Source organism: Homo sapiens, chromosome 16, assembly GCF_000001405.40.
Source record: "Homo sapiens chromosome 16, GRCh38.p14 Primary Assembly".
NCBI classification, from domain to species: domain Eukaryota; kingdom Metazoa; phylum Chordata; class Mammalia; order Primates; family Hominidae; genus Homo; species Homo sapiens.
In genome coordinates this window covers 77945136-77964479 of record NC_000016.10, presented here as the reverse complement: position 1 = coordinate 77964479, position 19344 = coordinate 77945136, and the positions used below count along the sequence as shown (strand labels likewise).

At 45.1% G+C, this 19344-nt stretch overlaps 1 protein-coding gene and 1 long non-coding RNA gene across 3 annotated transcripts in view, besides 4 other annotated features; one reads left to right on the top strand and one right to left on the bottom strand.

The window, feature by feature from the left end:
* VAT1L (vesicle amine transport 1 like) overlaps positions 1-19344 on the bottom strand; it is a 191544-nt gene that overhangs the window by 15628 nt on the left and 156572 nt on the right. The window lies entirely within an intron of this gene.
* LOC105371351 (uncharacterized) overlaps positions 1-19344 on the top strand; it is a 41987-nt gene that overhangs the window by 7241 nt on the left and 15402 nt on the right. The window contains exons 1-2 of one of the 2 annotated variants that reach the window (XR_007065124.1): positions 14744-14851; positions 15079-15275. The exons of the other annotated variant lie outside the window; for it this stretch is intronic. This is a non-coding gene — a long non-coding RNA (uncharacterized LOC105371351). Of the gene's footprint in view, positions 1-14743; positions 14852-15078; positions 15276-19344 lie in introns of those variants that run through there. 2 annotated transcript variants of the gene reach the window in all.
* Positions 558-627: an enhancer, noted in NCBI's record as "active region_11154". NCBI's record gives its function as "activates an Ori minimal core promoter by ATAC-STARR-seq in GM12878 lymphoblastoid cells {active_cell/tissue: GM12878}" and the evidence as "EXISTENCE:reporter gene assay evidence [ECO:0000049][PMID:35858748]".
* Positions 728-787: an enhancer, noted in NCBI's record as "active region_11153". NCBI's record gives its function as "activates an Ori minimal core promoter by ATAC-STARR-seq in GM12878 lymphoblastoid cells {active_cell/tissue: GM12878}" and the evidence as "EXISTENCE:reporter gene assay evidence [ECO:0000049][PMID:35858748]".
* Positions 1028-1107: an enhancer, noted in NCBI's record as "active region_11152". NCBI's record gives its function as "activates an Ori minimal core promoter by ATAC-STARR-seq in GM12878 lymphoblastoid cells {active_cell/tissue: GM12878}" and the evidence as "EXISTENCE:reporter gene assay evidence [ECO:0000049][PMID:35858748]".
* Positions 7592-7761: an enhancer, noted in NCBI's record as "experimental_45464 CRE fragment used in MPRA reporter constructs". NCBI's record gives its function as "activates a minimal promoter by MPRAs in K562 erythroleukemia cells, with activity observed for both the introgressed and non-introgressed 16:77990701 variant alleles {active_cell/tissue: K562}" and the evidence as "EXISTENCE:reporter gene assay evidence [ECO:0000049][PMID:34662402]".

Sequence of the window (19344 nt, the reverse complement as noted above, 5' to 3'; positions counted from 1 at the left end):
AGCAGGTGATGGGACAAGGGAAGCAGAGTTTGGAGTGATGCCCTTGCTGGGGGGACCGTGAAGCAAGAAAAACGCACGTGGCCTCTGGAAGCTAAAGAAGGGAAGGAAATAAATTCTCCCTTAGGGCTTCCACGAGGAACGCAGCCCTGCTGACACCTTGATTTTTGGGCTTTCAGAACTGTAAGATAATACTTTTATGTTATTTAAGCCACTACATTTGTGGTCATTTGAACAGCAGCTTACAGGACACTAATGTAGGTGGGTTTAAGGAGGTGATGGGTGAGACCTGAAGAGCAGGAAGGAGTGAGCCACAGAAAGAGCTGAGCAATAGGGATTCAGGGAGAGGGGGAACATATGCTTTGGCTCCAGGTGGATCTGAATCCCACGTGGGATTCTCTAAGAGGAGGCCAGAGTGGTGGAGAAAAATACAAGGGCAGGTGGAGGGGAAGGCAGCGGCCAGATCCTGGGGTCTGGAAGTGGAGAGTGTGGCAGATCTTGAAGTCCCTAACCAGCCACTATTTGCACCACGGAAGGCCCTTTTGTAAGACTTTCGGTTTTGTTCTGAAGGTCTTCACGTATTGCGAAGACGTCCTCTTTGCTAGTGAGACAGCTCGTCTCTGATTGCTTCAAATCATTTCTGTGCTGGGAAGTATCACAGAGAAGTGAAAATCACTTTCCCATGGCTTCCCCAATATTCCCCTGTTTACCAAATGCATATGCCTTTCCTGTGAGGACCCAGCCTGTACTGTGGAGCCACGGGAGTCTCAGGAGGGATCCAGGCTCCTGCATTCTCTGACTGTGTGACTTCAGGCAGTTCCCCCAGCCTCTCGGTGACACTGTGGGTTTTTCCCCCCTTTATTTTCTACGAAGTGAAGGTAAGGTTTTGTATCAGTTTCCTATTATTACTGTAACAGATGACCACCAACAGTGACTTGAAGCACAAATTTATTATCTTACCGTTCTGGAGGTCAAAAGTTTGAAATGGGTTTTACAGGGTTAACATCAAGGCTCCGGCAGGGCTGCATTCCTTCCTGCATTTGTTTCCAGGGAGGAATTTGTTTCCTTGACTTTCCCGTCTTTAGAAGAAGCCCTTGCATTTCTTTGCTTGCAGGTCCCTCCCACCGTCTTCAAAGCCAGCAGGGTAGAGCTTCAAATCTCTCTGACTCTCACCCTCCTCCTGCCTCCCTCTTTGAAAAACCCAGGAGGATCTCCCCATCCCCAAGTCCCTAACTTAATCTCATCGGCAAAGTCCGTTTTTCCATGTGAGGTACCAGATTCACAGGTTCTGGGGATGAGGATGTGGGCACGTTTGCGTGGTATTATTCTGCTCGGCCCAGGTTCTCACCCACCTAATAGAACTGCCGTGAAGGTTGAGGGCAGATGTCTGTTAAGCATCTGACACAGTTACTGGATCCACTAGAAGCCTCTTTAGGAGAAAACTTGAGGATCCAGCGCCCTCTACTCGATTTCTGAAAGCTGTCTATGTCCTCCTCACCCAGAACCCTAAGATTGTTTCTTTTCTTGTTTTGTTTTTGAGGCAGGATCACTATCTATTGTCCCGGCTGGAGTGCAGTGGCATGATCACAACCCACTGCAGCCTCTACCTCCCAGGCTTAAGCAATCCTCCTGTCTCAGCCTCCCAAGTAGCTGAGACTGCAGGCATGAGCCACCATGCCTAGCTATTTTTTCTTTTCTCTTTCTTTCCTTCCTTCCTTCCTTCCTTCCTTCCTTCCTTCCTTCTTTCCTTCTTTCCTTCTTTTGTAGAGAAAAGGTCTTGCTATGTTGTGCAGGCTGGTCTTGAACTCCTGGATTGAAGCCGTCCTCCTGCCTTGGCCTCCTGATGTGCTGGGATTACAGGCATGAGCCACTGCTCCCGGCCTATTTCTTTCCTTATAGGATTATAGGATGGTCCCGCCTATGATATACTCGAGGCCACCTAATAAAAGGGGGACTCCAACTGGGTTCTGTTTGACTCCCAAGTCCAGAGGAGAGATTCTACTCTGAGACCTGGGCCCCACTTAGAGGGGCCTACCCTGGCCTTCCTCTGCTTGCATCCCTACCTATGTCAGCACCCCTACCTATGGCTCCCTTTGGTTGAAGCCAAAGGGACAGCCATGCAAAGCAAAGTCTCCCCCAACACATACACTTCTAGACCATGCTTTGGGTTCCTGGCCTTCCAGAATTCTATTCCCAAATGGCCCCAAGACCACATGAGGACTTTTTCCCACTACATGGGCAGGACCCCTCCTGGTGGTGTGGGTGGGACTCTGGGGTGGAGACAGAAGGGGACTGACCACGGGCTGGGATCCTCCATTTGCACTCTTGCCCAGGGCCCTGCAGATGTGAGGGGTGGGTCTGGCTACAGGACACAGTGATTACGTGGCATGACTGGCAGGTTCTGGAAATTAGGATGTGGGTATGACATAGAGACTGAGGAGAGAAAGAATTAGAGATGACTCACAGCTGACCAGGAGGACTATGATACTCTAGACACACTAGTCAGAATGGGGTTCCCAGTGAGGGATTTGTCACAATGCAATGATGATAATGACAAAAATGATGACAACAATATTCACATCTGTATAGCATTCCCATCATCTTTGCTGAGCTTCATTTTGGAACAACAAACCTTAGGTTCCGAGATGCTAAGTGTTTCACCTAAGATCACACAGCTGATAGTGGAGGAGCTGGGAGTAAGGTCAGAAGGCAGGGGGCCAAGCCCAGGCTTTTCCATTAGACCTGGTTTCCTCTCCAAGGAGAAGAGGCTGCATTCATGTCTAGTGTTGTGTTTGAGATCCTGGCTGGGCAGCCAGGGGAAAATGGCAGGAAATTCCTGGGTATGGGGCTTAAGAGAAAGAATGAGGTTGAGGAGGCCAATCTGGGATCATCCTAAGTCAAATGAAGAACCGTGGTGCTACCTGGCTGTTGTGAGTCACAGACTGATCCAGTCCTCGATAAGAAGAGGGCCATGGAAACCTTGGAGAACAATGGTTTCTTCTCCCACCTCCATCTCTAAAATGTAGATCAGAGATTGGAACAGGCCCAGGGATCTGAGAGCCAGGAGTAGGGCAAGGTAAGGGAACAAGAAGGTGAACAGATCCGAGGGAGGAAGGAGAAAGACTGGAAGGAAGCCCTTGAACCCGGTTCATGGTGATTTAGAGAGGGTTGACTTAGCAAAGCGGAGTGGGCAGGAGCTAGATCACCGTGCACCAAGGAGAAGCCCCCTTGGTGACAGCCTGGAACTCCTGTCTCCAAATTTTTTGCTTCTCTGTGAATAGACGTGCAGCCAACAAAGACTCTTGTTCCTCAAGCCCATCCTTTTTGAAAACTGCCCCAGCTGTTTCCCTCAAGGTTAAAGACAGACAGCAGCACAGGAGCTGCAGCGTCCTGATAGATGCTCTCAGAAAAATTTATTCAAAAATATTTCACTCTGTGTAGCTAGACTCATTAATGCAGAGTTCCTGATTTGTTTATTTAACCCCAGTGGATTGCAACCCATTGGAGCTGAACTCATGCCATCAGTTCATGCTCTCAATGAAGTTGGCTGGTGTTCAAGACTCAGCGCGTGACCCATGGGGAAAATTTAATTGGCTCACCCCATGCAAGCAGAGGAGCAGTAGTCACGGTCATTTCTCGGCAGTAGTTATAGTCATTACTGTCTGCAATGAAATTAGGAGAGGTGGGGTGGCTGGAAGCCTCAATCAGGGCTGAGGAGGGGTCCTGGGCTGCAACCTTGGGGTCTTGGTTATCAATAGGGGGTTCCTCCACTCTTCCATTCTCTGGCCTCTATTCATTCCCCCATGGACTATATCTACTGGGCTCCTTGTCCCATGGCTTCCAGTTGGCTTTGGCCAATGAGATCCTGCTAGATCAGAAAACAGGAGAAAGGAGAATGAAGATATTTCCCCTTTCATTCCTGCCTTGTGATGGGTCTCTGGAAGTAGCTATGCCTCTTCACAACTACAGCTCCTGCAAGGTCCTAGCTTTCTCTGTGCAATCTGTTAATGCCTTTGCTTCCTCGTGCCCCTTCAGGCCCAGGGTGGGTAATATCTTCCTACTGTGGCTAGTTTCTGGGCATCTCAACATCCCTGTTGAGTTGGTTTCCTTAACTCTGATACCTTTAGAACCCCAGCTAAGTGTGCTGCTTGCTTCCTGCCAGGGTACTGACTGATATATTTGGCTCCAAGCTTTTTCATTCAACAAATACACTGAGTGTGTACTAACTGTTAAGCCCTGGGAAGACAGTGGCAAGCAAGCCAACCCCCTACAAGACCCCCTAAGCTGGTGAGGCTTTTACAGTCTCATGGAGCCATGGGCTTTATCCAAGAATGACTCAAACAAATGTAACATTACCACTTGGTAAGATGGTGTTATGAGGTTGTGGATGGGGATTTGACCTGGTTGGGAAGATCAGGGAGTGCTTCTCTGAAGAAGTGATAATTGAGCTAGGATTTAGAGGATGGATGGGATTTAGCTATGGCAAGAGGAGAGAGAGAAGACCATTCCAAGCAGAGGAAGTGGAATGTGACAGGAGAGACTGAAAAAAGCCAATGGCCTTGGGGACAAAAGAGCAAAAGTCAAGGTGGGACAAAATTCTGGAAAGTAGTTGGGGACTTTGGTTACTACATTCCAAAGAGTTTCCATGAATGTGGTTGCAAATCTAGAACCTCCTATCTCCCCTCACCTACGTGAGTGGTTAGTTCCTTCACACTTGGGCCACGAGGGTTAATAATCCTCAGTCTTTGTTTGGGGCTTCATTTAGTGCTTCATAGTAGCCAACTTCCTTTTTAATGGTGTGAAAGGCACAAAGTCATTAGGGTACAAATGACAGCACTTAATAACCATAGCACTTGGCTTATGCTATGAATGATAATAAGCATATCCGTGTAAAAAGGGGGAAAAATCAAGAGGGGGGTAATTCCATGGATCACTACGCCTGTTAGATGATAAATTAAAAGCTTTGAAAAAGAAGAAATGAGTAATACTTTAATTAAGAAACACATCTACCAAAGTCATCTGTGAGATATTCCTCATATTAACAATATCCATCTTTGGGAGGGATTGATGATTATCTAAAACATAAAGTGGGTATTTAAATGTAACATGTTCATTGCAAGTAGGCTTGAGATCTGGAATTTCTGGCTTTTGCCAAGTAGCTTCTTCTGGAGTCTAAAGTGCGTGAGCCCCAAGATTCTGACCCAGATGGAAGAGTGACTGGAAAAGTAGAATGTCAGGAACCATGAATTAATCGACTGGAAGGGTAGAGAAAGGATTCAAACACTCAGCTCCTTTTTAGAGCAGCTGCATGTTGGGTCTTTGCAATAATGTGGGGAATAGATGAGGGTGGGGCAGAGGAGGTGACTGGCGTGCAAAATTTAAGGAGGTGGCCATTCTCTGAGTCACACAAGTGCAGGATCAGCACCTGAAAGTGAGCGCTGCCTTACATTTTATACCCTAGCTGTCTGTCTTGACTAATCATAGTCTTGGTCCTGCAAGAATGGTTACTATTTTTAAAGGAATGGGAGAAACATTCAACCAGCTATTATAAAGGAAGTACCTACTTGGCAACAGGATAACTAGTGGGATTCTTCAAGAGGATTTTTAAAGGGGCTATTAGTAGGAACACTGGCTTACAAGAGACAGAATGTTCTTCGAAGGAGAAGAAGAGAAAGCAAAAAGCAAGGCAGTGTAATCTGGATGGAGCAACTGTTCCTTTTGTCCTGCGTCCTTGGATGGTAGTTGTTCTCCTGATCAAATATACATCATGGTCGTAAGGGGTTCATATGAATTAAACATTGAACCAAGAGCCAGAATGTTCTACAGAAATCGAACTCATAATGAAACCAAATTATATATTCTTGTCTTATTGTGTTTTGAACTAAAGCAGAGGGAAAAAAAAATCTGGTGAATTCCCTCCAGTGTTTGTGTTAGTTAACAACGCTCCACAGTGCTGGATTTGGGTGGTTGAATAGAACTGAAGTGGACACTCAGGGGATGCTGATTCCTACATGGGAGTGAGACCTGGGGAAGAGGATAAAAGACATGTGAGGTACTTTAGCTTATGGAGATGCTCAGTCCCTTGGAAAGACCTGCGGGAAAATATCTGTTGCGCAGTGTGTAAGAGAGATGCTTGAGGTGTGATGGGCACAGAAGAGGAAGCAATTTATTTGATATGGGAGAAGGATGAAAACCAGAGGAAGCTGTTGAGAGGAAGTAACTTGAGTAGAAGTTGGTCACTCAGCCAAACGGAGGGACATATAAATAACCCAAGAAGGCCAGGCATGGTGGTTCATGCCTGTAATCCCAGCACTTAGGGAGGCTGGGCAGGTTGATGACTTCTGCCCAGGAGTTTGAGGCCAGCCTGGCCCACATGGCAAATGCTCATCTCTACAAAAAATAAAAAAATTAACCAGGACTGGTAGCACATGCCTGTAGTCCCAGCTACTTGGAAGGCAGAAGAAGGAGAATCACTTGAATCTGGTGGGCAGAGATTGCAGTGAGCTGAGAGCACACCATTGTACTCCAGGCTGGGTGACAGAGCAAGCCCCTGTCTCAAAAATAAATGCATTAATAACCCAAGGAAATATTGCTCTAGTAAGAGAATGAGGGGTTAAAGTAACAACCTGAGCTCCCACCACTCCTGCAATTCCACACGAGAATGGTAGAACTATAATTATTTTATAATTATTATTATTATAAATTTTATATTAATATAATTATAATTATATATAATTGTTTTATTTATTTTATTTTTTTGAGACAGAGTCTCGTTCTGTCGCCAGGCTGGACTGCAGTGGCCCGATCTCAGCTCACTGCAACCTCCGCCTCCCGGGTTCAAGTGATTCTCCTGCCTCAGCCTCCCGAGTAGCTGGGATTACAGGCACGTGCCACCACACCCAGCTAAGTTTTGTATTTTTAGTAGAGACGGGGTTTCACCATGTTGGCCTGGATGGTCTCGATCTCTTGACCTTGTGATCTACCCGCCTTGGCTGCCCAAAGTGCTGGGATTATAGGCGTGAGCCACTGCACCTTGCTAAAAAATAGATTTTAAACTTTTTTTTGGCTTTGAATCTTTCAACAAAACCCTCAACTCAGGGAGAAAGATATTATATTTCTGCATGGAGGACTCTAGTTATTTACTAATGATGTAATTGCCTTGCTTCCAGGTAACACTGGTTTTATTTACTCATAGATTGGTAGCTATGTCATTCCATAATGTCTGAAGGTTTTCACCCGGAATTGTCAAACATGAGAATTCATGGAAAAGGGCTAAAAATTTAAGAATTCCAAAGACCCTTCAAAACCTTGAAAGTTCTCAAGTGGGGAGCTATCTTTGAAAGGGATGACAGCCAGACCTAATAGCATTTGGGAAAGTACCATTTATTAAGTTGGTACAAAGGAATTGTGATTTTTTCCCTTATTTTCAATGGCAAAATCCACAATTACTTTAATAGAAGTCAGAGGTGATCATTTCTTAGGCTTGGAGAAAAAGGGCTGGTTTGCAGGAATAGGTGGTATTTTTAGTACCTAAGGAAACTGAGATACGTTGACTCTATAATCCATATATAACTGTTGTCTACACAAATGCTAGGGTTCCTAGGCTGCAAAATTAGTCAGCCAACAGAGACAGAGCCCAAGCCTGGGATAAAGAGTCTGGGGAACAGACTAAAGTATAGAGTGGAAATAAAAGAGCGATTCTATTTGCGAAAGCATTGCCAACCAAAGTGTTCTTATCAAAAGCCGGTTCTCCCCCACTTTGTCTAAAGCGGGGTATATATTGGATCCTCCCACGAGGAAGGATAGGAGGAGCAAACTATAGGCTCTGAACCTAAGAATGTAATAATATGAGAGTCACCAGATGCCCATAGGTTGTAATGGGAGAAGATAAGTCTCAAGGAAAGAGATGAACCCCAAATTGGGTAAATGTAAAGGACAAGGCAGAGGTGGTAAATCTATGGGGTGGTGGAGGCCGTTGCTCATGATCATTGCGGCAGCTGACATATGACAAGTGCTTACCAGGTGCTGTCACCGAGCAAAGCACCTCATGTGCATGACCTCATTTCATTGCATCAACCCAATGAGGTAAGTGGGAGTTTGTCAGGCTGTCAATCAGGGGTACATAAAAATAGGCCCCCTTTTCTTCCTGAGTCTCTGTTGTTCAAGGAGGAGAGTCGAGATGAGAATGAGGTTCAGGAAGGTTAGTGGCTTGTCCAAGGTTATTTTTTCTTTTTAATTAAAAATTTTTAAAATTTTTAATCTTTGTGGGTACATGGTAAGTATGTATATTTATGGGGTACATGAGATGTTTTGATACAGGCATGCAATAGATAGTAATCACATCATGGAGAATGCAGTATCCATCCCCTCAGGCATTATCTCTTTGTGTTGCAAACAATCCAATTATACTCTTTTAGTTATTTTAAAATATACAATTAAATTACTGTTGACTATAGTCACCCCACTGTGCTATCAAACAGGTCTTACCCATTGTTTTTGCTTAAGGTTAAACAGTGGATACAGAGAAACTAGGCTTTAGACCCCGCTTCATACAACCACAGGCTTGATGCACTGTTGCCAGGTATGAGACAGTGGGTTGGAAGCAATGGAGAGCGAAGAAGGAAGGAAGGATGTAGGACGCTGGGTATTGTATTGCAGGACCAGGAATGGTTTATTTCCTTTGTACTTCTATATGCATCTTGCTTGTCCCTGGGTCATTTCACTCATTCCATTCTCTCTCTTTTTTTTTTTTTGGGGGGGGGGATATGGAGCCTCTGTCACCCAGGCCGGAGTGTAGTGTTGCGATCTCAGCTCACTGCAACCTCCACTTCCCAGGTTCAAGAGATTCTCCCACTTCAGCCTCCCAAGTAGCTGGGGTTACAGACGAGTGCCATCACCCCTGGCTAATTTTTGTATTTTTAGTGGAGACAGGGCTTCATCACATTGGCCAGGGTGGTCTCGAACACCTGACCTCAAGCAATCTTCCCGCCTTGGCGTCCCAAAGTGCTGGGATTACAGGTGTGAGCCACCACGCCCGGCCCCATTCTCTGTTGAAGAGTTCCTCAATCTAGTAGCTATTGGCATTTTGGCCCAGATAACTCTTTGTTGTGGGGGCTGTCCTGGGCACTGCAGGATGTTCGTCAGCATCCTTGGCCTCTGCTCACTAGATGTCAGTAGCGCTACCCCGTTGTGACAAACAAAAATGCTTCCAGGCATTGCCAAATGTCCCTTAGGGAGGCAAAAGCACCTCCAGTTGAGAATCACAGTGTTATAAAAACTTTTTCTATATCTCTCCCCTCCCATTGCTCCATGGGCTCTTGAAGAGCATGCACCTGCCCCATCTCAGTATCCACATAACATGTTGCACACAGGGGATTTTGTTCTGCTCTTTCCCAAGAACGAGGAAGAGTGTGTGGTACACAGCTCAATAGGCGCTCATGAACAGAACACAATATGGTCTCTGATTTCAAAACACTCAAGTGGTTACATTAGCTTTTCTTAAAAATAGAAATTAAAGACTGCCTGCATTAAAATCACGTGTGTTTCCTATATTTGGAGTTGATCTTTAAAAAAAGTAAAAAATCGCATATGTTGCTTTTAAAAAGTGATGTATTGGCCTCACCCTAGGCCTCTTTTATTGAGACTGGACAGGTAGTCTACTCCTGGTGATTCTGGAACTCTGACGTTTTAGAACCTTTTAATTCAAAAGTGCTTTATTTAACAAATATTGACTGCCTACTGTGAGAAGGCATCGTGCTTGGGTGACTCATGCAAAGAACAAGAAAGACAGGTCCCCTGCTTGGCTAAGATGCCCCTGAGAGGGGGAGATGATGTTCCATTTATTTATTATTTATTTTTTTGAGACAGACTCGCTCTGTCGCCCAGGCTGGACTACAGTGGCACGATCTTGGCTCATTGCAACCTCTGCCTCCCGGGTTCAAGCGATTCTCCTGCCTCAGCCTCTTGAGTAGCTGGGATTACAGGCATGCGCTACCACACCCGGCTAATTTTTATAGTTTTAGTAGAGACCGGGTTTCACCATGTTGGTCAGGCTGGTCTCGAACTCCTGATCTTGTGATCCGCCTGTCTGGGCTTCCTAAAGTGCTGGGATTACAGGCGTGAGCCACCGCGCCCGGCCTGACATTCCACTTTTTGCTATCTGGATAGAGCCTAGTTTAACACTTGACTTAAATATCCTGGCATGCTGGAAAGCAGCAGATAGCCGTGACTACAACCCTTTTCACTCCAGGGCAACAGACAAGAAATCGGATCTCAGCTTTGGTTCTGCGCAAGTATCAAACAACTTGATTTCTGCTCAGTGCATGAAGAAACCTTCAGGATATTGTTTTTCTGTTAATTATACCTATTCATTGTCTCCATGTGGCCGCTCAAAAGACCCAGCAGCTGAGTTTCATCTGCTGATGGTTTCAGGGACGAATCTCAGTGGTGGTGGGGTCACACAGGATGTGTGTGAGAAGTTAGAATTAGCAGGTTACAAGAGCAACCCACAGTTCATGGTCTAATGAGCCAGATCTTAGTGCAACATGAGCAGAAAACTCAGAAGCAAAGTTGCATGCTGGAAATGCAGTAGGTGGGCTTGTTTCTTTTCAAGGAAGGAAACATCAGGATCTAGTGTGAACCAATGCCTACTAGAGATACACGTGCTCAAATTAAGACATGCAAATCAGGCTGGGCAAGATGGCTCATGCCCATAATCTCAACACTTTGGGAGGTCGAGGTGGGAGGATTGCTTGAGTCCAGGAGTTCCAGACCAGCTTGGGCAATGAAAAGACAGTTGGATGTGGTGGCACGCACCTGTAATCCTAGCTATTTGGGAGGCTGAGCCCCCAGGAGTTCGAGACCGCAGTGAGCTGTGATTGCACCACTGTGCTCCAGCCTGGGTGACAGAGTGAGACCCTTTATCAAAAAAACAAAATAAAACCAAACAAAAAGAAATGTAAATAGGTGTTCTGTCAAATGAAAAAAAGTCCAGAAATAAAACTGTATTGGGCTATAACTTCAACCAAGTAAACAATTGTTTGCATACAGACAAGGACTAGAAATAATGCTTTAACAAATCATACCCAGTCTTGAGCTAAACTAATCATTCTTTTCATTAAAATTAGGAACACATAATAATGTTTGGGTAGTATATTAGTTTCCTAGGGTTGCTGTCTAAGTACCACAAACCAGGTGGCTTGAAACAACAGAAATTTGTTTTCTCACAAGTTCTGAGGCTTAGTCTGAAATCCAAATGTCAGCCGGATTGGTTCCTACTGGAGGTTCTGAGAAAGAATCTTTTCCATTATTTTCTCCTAGCTTCTGGAGGTTGCTGGCATCTTTGGTGGCCCTTGGCTTGGAGACACATCACTCCTGTCTCTGCCTCCATCATCATATGGCATTCTCTCTCTCTTTTTTCCTTCTTACAAGTACACCATGTTGGATTAAGGGTCCACCCTAATCTGATATGACCTCGTTTTAAATATCTGCAATGTTGTTGCAATATATCTGCAACAACCCCGTTTCCAAATAAAGTCACATTCTGAGGTTCAGGGAGAAACATGGATTTAGGGGGACACTCTCCAACACAATATTGTTAGTAACAGCTTTTTTTTTTTTTTTTTTTTAAATGGAGTCTCACTCTGTTCCCCAGGCTAGAATGCAGTGGTACCATCTTGGCTCAGTGCAACCTCTGCCTCCCAGGTCAAACGATTCTCCTGCCTCAGCCTCCTGAGTAGCTGGGACTACAGGCATGAGCCACCACGCCTGGCTAATTTTTGTATTTTTTAATAGATACAGGGTTTTGCCATGGTGACCAGGCTGGTCTCAAACTCCTGACCTCGGGATCTGCCCACTTCGGCCTCCCAAGGTGCTGGGATTACAGGTGTGAGTCACCAGGGGCTCATGGCTCTGCAGGCTTTATGGGAAGCATAGTGCTGGCATATGATCAGCTTCTAGGGAGGTCTCAAAGGGGGAGCAGGCATGTCACATGGCAAAAGCAGATGCAGGCGAGGGGTGGTGGTGGGGGGTCACAGGGAGGAGGGGCCCCACAATTTTAAACTACCAGGTCTGGTGTGAACTCTGAGCAAGAGCCATTCATGAGGGACCTGCTCCCCTGATCCGAACACCTCCCACTAGGCCCCATCTCCAACGTTGGGGATTACATTTCACCATGAAATTTGGGTTGGGACACAGATCCAAACTGTATCAACAGGTTTCTTCCTGACTGTAGGTCCCTAATCCTCCCTTAGAGCATTTACCTTAGAAAACTTGATATTGTAAATTATTTTTGCTCCTTTAAGACATAAATCTTCTACAACCCAGGAATGTCTTTCTCAAGGACTTGGGAACCATCCCTTCAAAATGTAATCAAGAAAGATAGCATCCCTATCTCCCAGTCTCTGGGAAGGATAAGAGCCTAACTTCCATAAGCACCAATTAGCAAACACAGATGGCTTGATGGCTTCAGCTCACCTGCCTTCTTCCTGAAACGTCCTTTAGGACTTTGCCACTATCTCCCCCTAGTGCTCAAAAATTCTCTACCTTTTGTTTCAAAGGAATTGAGTTCAATCTCTCTGCCCTGTTGAAATAATCTTGCCTAGTAACAGCTTTCAGTTTGTTTTTTCGTGTTTTTTTTTTTTTAATTTTAAACTTTTAAAAGTTGTAAAACACAGATACAGAAAACTACACAAAACCAATACATCAAAGTAGAACTTTGTCAGCCACCCCGAAGTCCTTTCTGTGTCCCTTGTGCTAATCTCACCTCCTTCCCCTCCCTCAAATGTCGCTGGCTCAGTCCTGACTTTTAGAGTAATCGCTTCCTTAAATTTCCTTAATTTCACCCAACTCTGCATCCCAGGCATTATAGTTTTGTTTTGCTAATTAAAAGAATATACACGCACTCATACTTTTAAGTCCTATTTATTTATTTATTTTTGAGACAGAGTCTCACTCCATTGCCCTGGCTGGAGTGCGGTGGCGCAATCTCGGCTCACTGCAACCCCCACTTCTTGGGTTCAAGCGATTCTCCTGCTTCAGCCTCCCGAGTAGCTGGGATTACAGGCTCCCGCCACCACACCTGGCTACTTTTTGTATTTTTAGCAAAGACGAGGTTTCACCATATTGCCCAGGCTGGTCCCAAGCTCCTGACCTCAAGTGGTCTGCCGGCCTCCACCTCTCAAAGTGCTGGGATTACAGGCGTGAGCCACTACACCCGGACCTTGAGTCATTTTAAAACTACAAATTACCCTTCCACTTTGCTGCTGTTCCCTGCAAGTTGTACTGAAGAGCTCCCATTGTTGAGCTTTGTGGAGTTGCATACCGTCTGGACTTTACGGATTTTGAACAGCCAGTGCAGCCAACGTATCTTTCCATTCTCTGTATTTCCTTCAGGTGGATGGAAGCTTTGATCAGGTTAATATATTTTCTTTGCCAAGACCGCGGGCGCTGCTGTGTCTTTTCTCCAAAACCTATACAATGGCTGGCTGGCTCTCTTTCCAGCATACTAACTTAATGCCTAGATCCAGTAATTTACCGGAGGATGAATACAGTCGTGTTCATTTATTAGCTGCCATAATTTTATAAGGAGACATTTCCCTTCATCCATTATTTGATTACCAGTGATAAACAGTTTGTATAGGAAAGGCCGGATAAACAATGGATCCTTTCCTTATGTTTGCCAGTAGAAACAGCCTTTTAAAAGGAGAAAAATTAAAGAAATGGAATAAAGCTGTATAACATTCACTAATTTAACAGTTACTATATGTTATTCAATATTTAAAAGCAAAAAACTGGAGCAAAATGTCCATCAGGCTTAGGATGATTAAGGGCAACACAGAACATCCCTGAAGATCACTGCTTCCCATTTCTCATTAACATGATAAGATCACGCTGAACATACAATTTCTTATTCTGCTTATCTATATAAAATATATATTAATGCAAATTATAGGTTGTATCAACCTCACAACCTTGGCTATATCTGAGTAATAGGGTTAGGGCTAGTTTTCATTTTCTCCATTATAACTGTGTGTGTGTGTGTGTGTGTGTGTGTGTGTGTGTGTGTGTGTGTGTTTAGATGGAATCTTGCTCTGTCGCCCAGGCTGGAGTGCAGTGGCATGCTCTCAGCTCACTGCAACCTCTGCCTTGCAGGTTTAAGCGATTTTTCTGTGTCAGCCTCCTGAGTAGCTGGGATTACAGGCACCCACCACCACACCTGGCTAATTTTTGTATTTTTAGTAGAGATGGGGTTTCCCCATGTTGGCCAGGCTGGTTTTGAACTCCTGACCTCAAGGCATCCACCTGCCTTGGCCTCCCAAAATGCTGGGATTACAGGCGTGAGCCACTGCACCTGGCCAATGTTTTTGTGTTTTAAAAAATGAACACAATGAGCACATGTTCATTGGATAATAAGTTATTAAAAGTGATTATGAGGCAACCACCAGCTCACTTTGATCACCACAGCAGTGAAACGAGGCTACAGAGCCATGGCTGAGGGAAAACTTAAGGGTACAGTCATCTGGAATCTTTCATTAGAAGCTGTGTAAGTAACACCAAAATAAAAGTGACAACCAACTGTCTAGGAAGAGCCACGTGCTTCACAAAGGGCAGGACAAGCATTGCCATGTCATAATCGGCAGCCTCACCTGCTGTATTAGTCCCTTTGTGTTGTTATAAAAGAATACCTGAAGCTGGGTAATTTTTAAAGAAAAAAGAGTTATTTGGTCCATGACTGTGGAGGCTGGAAGATTGAGCATCTGGTGGAAGCCCCAGGCTGTTTCTGCTCATGGCGGAAGGTGCAGGGGAGCTGGCACGTGCAGAGATCACACAGTGAGAGAGGAAGCAAGACAGAGAGGTGAGGCACTAGGCTCTTTTTAGCAACCAGCTCTGGCAGGAACTACTAGAATGAGAATTCACTCTCCATTCCTGCAGGGAGGGCATTAATCTATTCATGTGGAATCCACTCCTATGACCCAAACACCTCTCATTAGTCCCCACCTCCAACACTGGGATCAAATTTCCACATGAGGTTTGGGGAACAAACATCCAAACTCTTAGCACATTGCCTATTCTTTTTTCTAGGATGCCCCAGCATAGGATGCCCTGTCAGTACCCCAGAGATCATGATCCTAGGAAGAAGAAACTCATTGTCTGCCATTGCCTCCACCTCCCTTGACTTACTCGCTCCAGGCCACCAGAATCTAGACTTGACCTTTAATTGCAGAAGGACATCTCCCTGCTGCAGGCAGTCGATCAGAGATCTTGGCTCTAATCTCCACGTGTGTATTGTCTCCACTCTGTCACTGCATCATTCGAGGTCTCATCATCTCCCTACAGTATTCTTTTTCTAGCCTCCTGTTTGTTCTCTGAAGGTCCCAGCTTCTTCGTGCTCCAATCTGCCCCCATCCTGCTGCCACAGTCATGATTACTGATAGATACAGATTACTGATAGATCTTATGTCTTTCATGTCCCAAGGGTTTGATGCTGTGCTGTAAATTCAGTAATGATAAGTGACAGTGATTTTAATGGCTGACACCGACCCCTTAGCACACCAGCTGAGTGCATGCTAAGTGTCAAATGCTTTCCATGGAATAGTCCCTTCACTCCTCATTATAACCCTATGAGGAATGTACCATAATTATCCTCATGTTACATATGTAGAAGATGAACATTAGGGACATTAATTAACCTGCCTAAGGTCATAAACATAGTATGTCAAAGAGCTAGGATTTTAACTTAGAATGTTTATGAAATATTTACAGATGAAATAATATTATGTCTGGGATTTACTTTAAAATACTCCAGAAAAATAGTGAGAAAGGGAAGGCAATGAAGGAAAAAATCAACCAAATATTAATCATTGTGGAAACCGGGTAACAGGGAAGGAGTATGGGGGCAGGGGGTGTCAGTATCCTATAATTGCTGCTTTTATATGTTTGAAATTTTCCAAAAAGTTTACAAAATGTGAACTTTGAGCTTTCTTCCCCAAATGACAACTATAACGACAGTTCCAGCACTCAAATGCTCAACTGTGACACCGTATTGCTAAGGACCCAGCATATGTTTGATGATGGTGTTGCAAATGAGGGGTTTGGATTTCCTAGGAGTTAGGTGTTAGAGAAGTTCAATGTGTTGTTCTCATTTCCTAGATAGACAAGTGTACCCTTTCAATCAAATGGCCTGTGTTTGTGGGGTAATAACCTCCACCTACTATGTGCCAGGCAGCATGCAGAGATGAGCACATGCAGCCTCTGCCCTTGAAGCCAGGAGAAGAGGGAAGGTGGCCATGGAGACAGTCAATTCCAACAGAGTGTGGGAGGAGCTATATCCTAGCTATGAATGAAGAGGCATGTGAGTCCAGTGGAGGAAATTACTCAGTTTAGAGAAGAACTACTTTTCCATTGGGTTTTAAGAGGGAGATGGGGCCGGGCGCGGTGGTACACACCTGTAATCCCAGCACTTTGGGAGGCCCAGGTGGTTGGATCACCTGAGGTCAGGAGTTTGAGACCAGCCTGACCAACATGGGGAAAACCCTGTCTCTACTAAAAATACGAAATTAGCTGGGCGTGGTGGCACATGCCTGTAATCCTAGCTACTTGGGAGGCTGAGGCAGGAGAATCGCTAGAATCTGGGAGGCAGAGGTTGTGGTGAGCCAAGATCATGCCATTGCGCAAACTCCAGCCTGGACAACAAGAGCGAAACTCCACCTCAAAAACAGAGGGAGGTAGGCATTTTTCAGGAAGAGAAACTGCATACACTCAGGCAAGAGAACAGAGTTCTGAAAGGACTGAATGCATTGCTCATTCAGGGGACTGGGCGTGAGTGACAGTGCTATTGGGTGTCCTGGGGATGTTGTGTGCTGGGCCAGGTCAGCTGGCCCCTCTTATGTGAGCAGGAGGGAGCTGGGCATGGTCTTCACTTGGACACAGCTAGAAGTGTGTTTCGGGAAGATAACCCTGAGAGTAATATTGGCCAGTGGGCCCTGGATGGGGAGAAACTGGGAGACCAATGACAACTGGGAATTATGGAGGCTGGCGGGGTGAGACCAAGATTTGAGGTAGGATGCTGAGACATGCTGTTAAAACCCACTTGATCTTTACGATTGCTTCAGGTTTTTTAGAAGCCAGGTAATTCCCCAAAGGGTGAAAAGAGTCCCTAAAATGACCTATGCTTTCAAAGATTCTTCATCAAGGAGACATGAGATCTGAGGTAATTTGATTTATCTTCATCCACTTTAATTAGCACTAGAAGCAGATGGTCTTGTGAGCGCTGGAATCCTCCTTATGTTCCTTCCGTCAGTGTCAGTGTGACTTTAAAATCTAATTTTTAATTATCTCTGCCCATTTGCAGAGGCACGGAAGGGAAACAGAAAAGGGCTCACCCTTTCTTTCCTGTGTCCTTCCCACTTGCCTATTAGCTGAGTGTTTTCCTCTAAGTGGCAAGGAATATCTATCAGCCTTGAGGCTGTGTTGCCATGGTAACGAGATAAAAACAGGCTCAACAGACAGGGAATTAAAGTAAGGGGTTGAGGGAGGTGTTGCCTTCCAGCAACTTTCCATTCCTGCTCAGAGGCCAACTAGGGATGGATAGCCAGACTTCAGCCATTCTTGTTTCAGCCTGGGCTTCACTGGGATCTCAAATGGGACTGATCCCAGAGGGGTGGCTATGAACAGTAGTCAGGTCCTCTAGAGTCACAAGGAAGGGTGAATCTAAGAAGTCTCCATAACCAAGAGTTTGGTAAGTTGGGGAGGTAGGTGGCAATTCTAAGAATCAATTGAAGTCACATCTTCCCAGAGTGACATGTTCATTTTTGTTGGTATAGCTACAACAAACATTTTAGATATAAATACTTTTTAAATAAAATTCCAAGTAGAGGTTTATTTCTTTAAGATACATTCTCGGGCTGGGTGCTGTGGCTCACGCCTGTAATCCCAGCACTTTGGGAGGCTGAGGCGGGCAGATCACGAAGTCAGGAGATCGAGATCATGCTGGCTAACACGGTGAAACCTTGTCTCTACTTAAAATACAAAAATTAGCTGGCCGTGGTGGCGGGTGCCTATAGTCCCAGCTACTCGGGAGTCTAAGGCAGGAGAATGGTGTGAACCTGGGAGGCGGAACTTGCAGTGAGCTGAGATCTCACCACTGCACTCCAGCCTGGGCATCAGAGTGAGACTCTGTCTCAAAAAAAAAAAAAAAAAAAAAAGAACAAGTAACCTAGATGTCCAGAACAGGAGAGTGGTTGAGTAAACTCTGTTAGAGCTGTTTGTTAGAATATTATGTAGCCATTATAGTTTAAAATGCTTATGAGTGTACAAGAGGGAAAAAAAGGCAGTCCACAAATTTTTTTGTACAATGTGATAATGTCTAAAAAACGGCAAGCCCTGGCCGGGTGTGGTAGCTCACGCCTGTAATCCTAGCACTTTGGGAGGCCGAGACGGGCAGATCATGCGGTCAGCAGTTCGAGACCAGCCTGACCAACATGGTGAAACCCTGTCTCTGCTACAAATACAAAAATTAGGTGGGCGTGGTGGCATGCGCCTGTAATCCCAGCTACTCCAGAGGCTGAGGCAGGAGAATCACTTGAACCGGGAAGCAGAGGGGGCAGTGAGCTGAGATCGTGCCACTGCACTCCAGCCTGGGCGACAGAGCGAGACTTTGTCTCAAAAAAAAGAAAAAAAAAAAAAAGTCAAGCCACTAAAGAAAACAAAACAAAGAACAAATCCCCATCTGTCCAAAAAGGAAATACTGAAAGAAAAGACAACTCATACAAAAGGGTTACTGTTGGTAATGGGAGTATGATTTTTCTTGCTTTGAAGGGACATGGTTTTAAATGTCTCTGTTGAATATGTGCTACTTTTCTTATCAGGAGAAAATAACAATTGAAAAAAGTTCTGGCCAGGTGTGGTGGCTAACACCTGTAATCCCAGTGCTTTAGGAGGCTGAGGCAGGACAATCGCTTGAGGCCAGGAATTCGAGACCAGCTTTGGCAACACAGTAAGAGCCTGTCTCAAAAACTATATATATAAAAATTACATGGGCATGATGGTGAGTGCCTGTAATCGCAGTTACTCAGGAGACTGAGGTGGTAAGATCACTTGAGCCTAGGAGTTTGAGGCTGCGGTGAGCTATGACTGCATCACTGTACTCCAGCATTAACGACAGAGTGAGACACACTCTTTCTCTCTCTCAAAAAAAAAAAAAAAAGTTCTGCAATCTGGAATTGGCCATTCCAAGTGAGTCAGTGGCCTCACTAAGCACAGATACCACAAGCCATGTTTTTTGTGCTCTTCTATGTGCTAGAACAGTTCTTGGGTTTGTGCCCCCACAGATTGGACAGACTAGGTCTG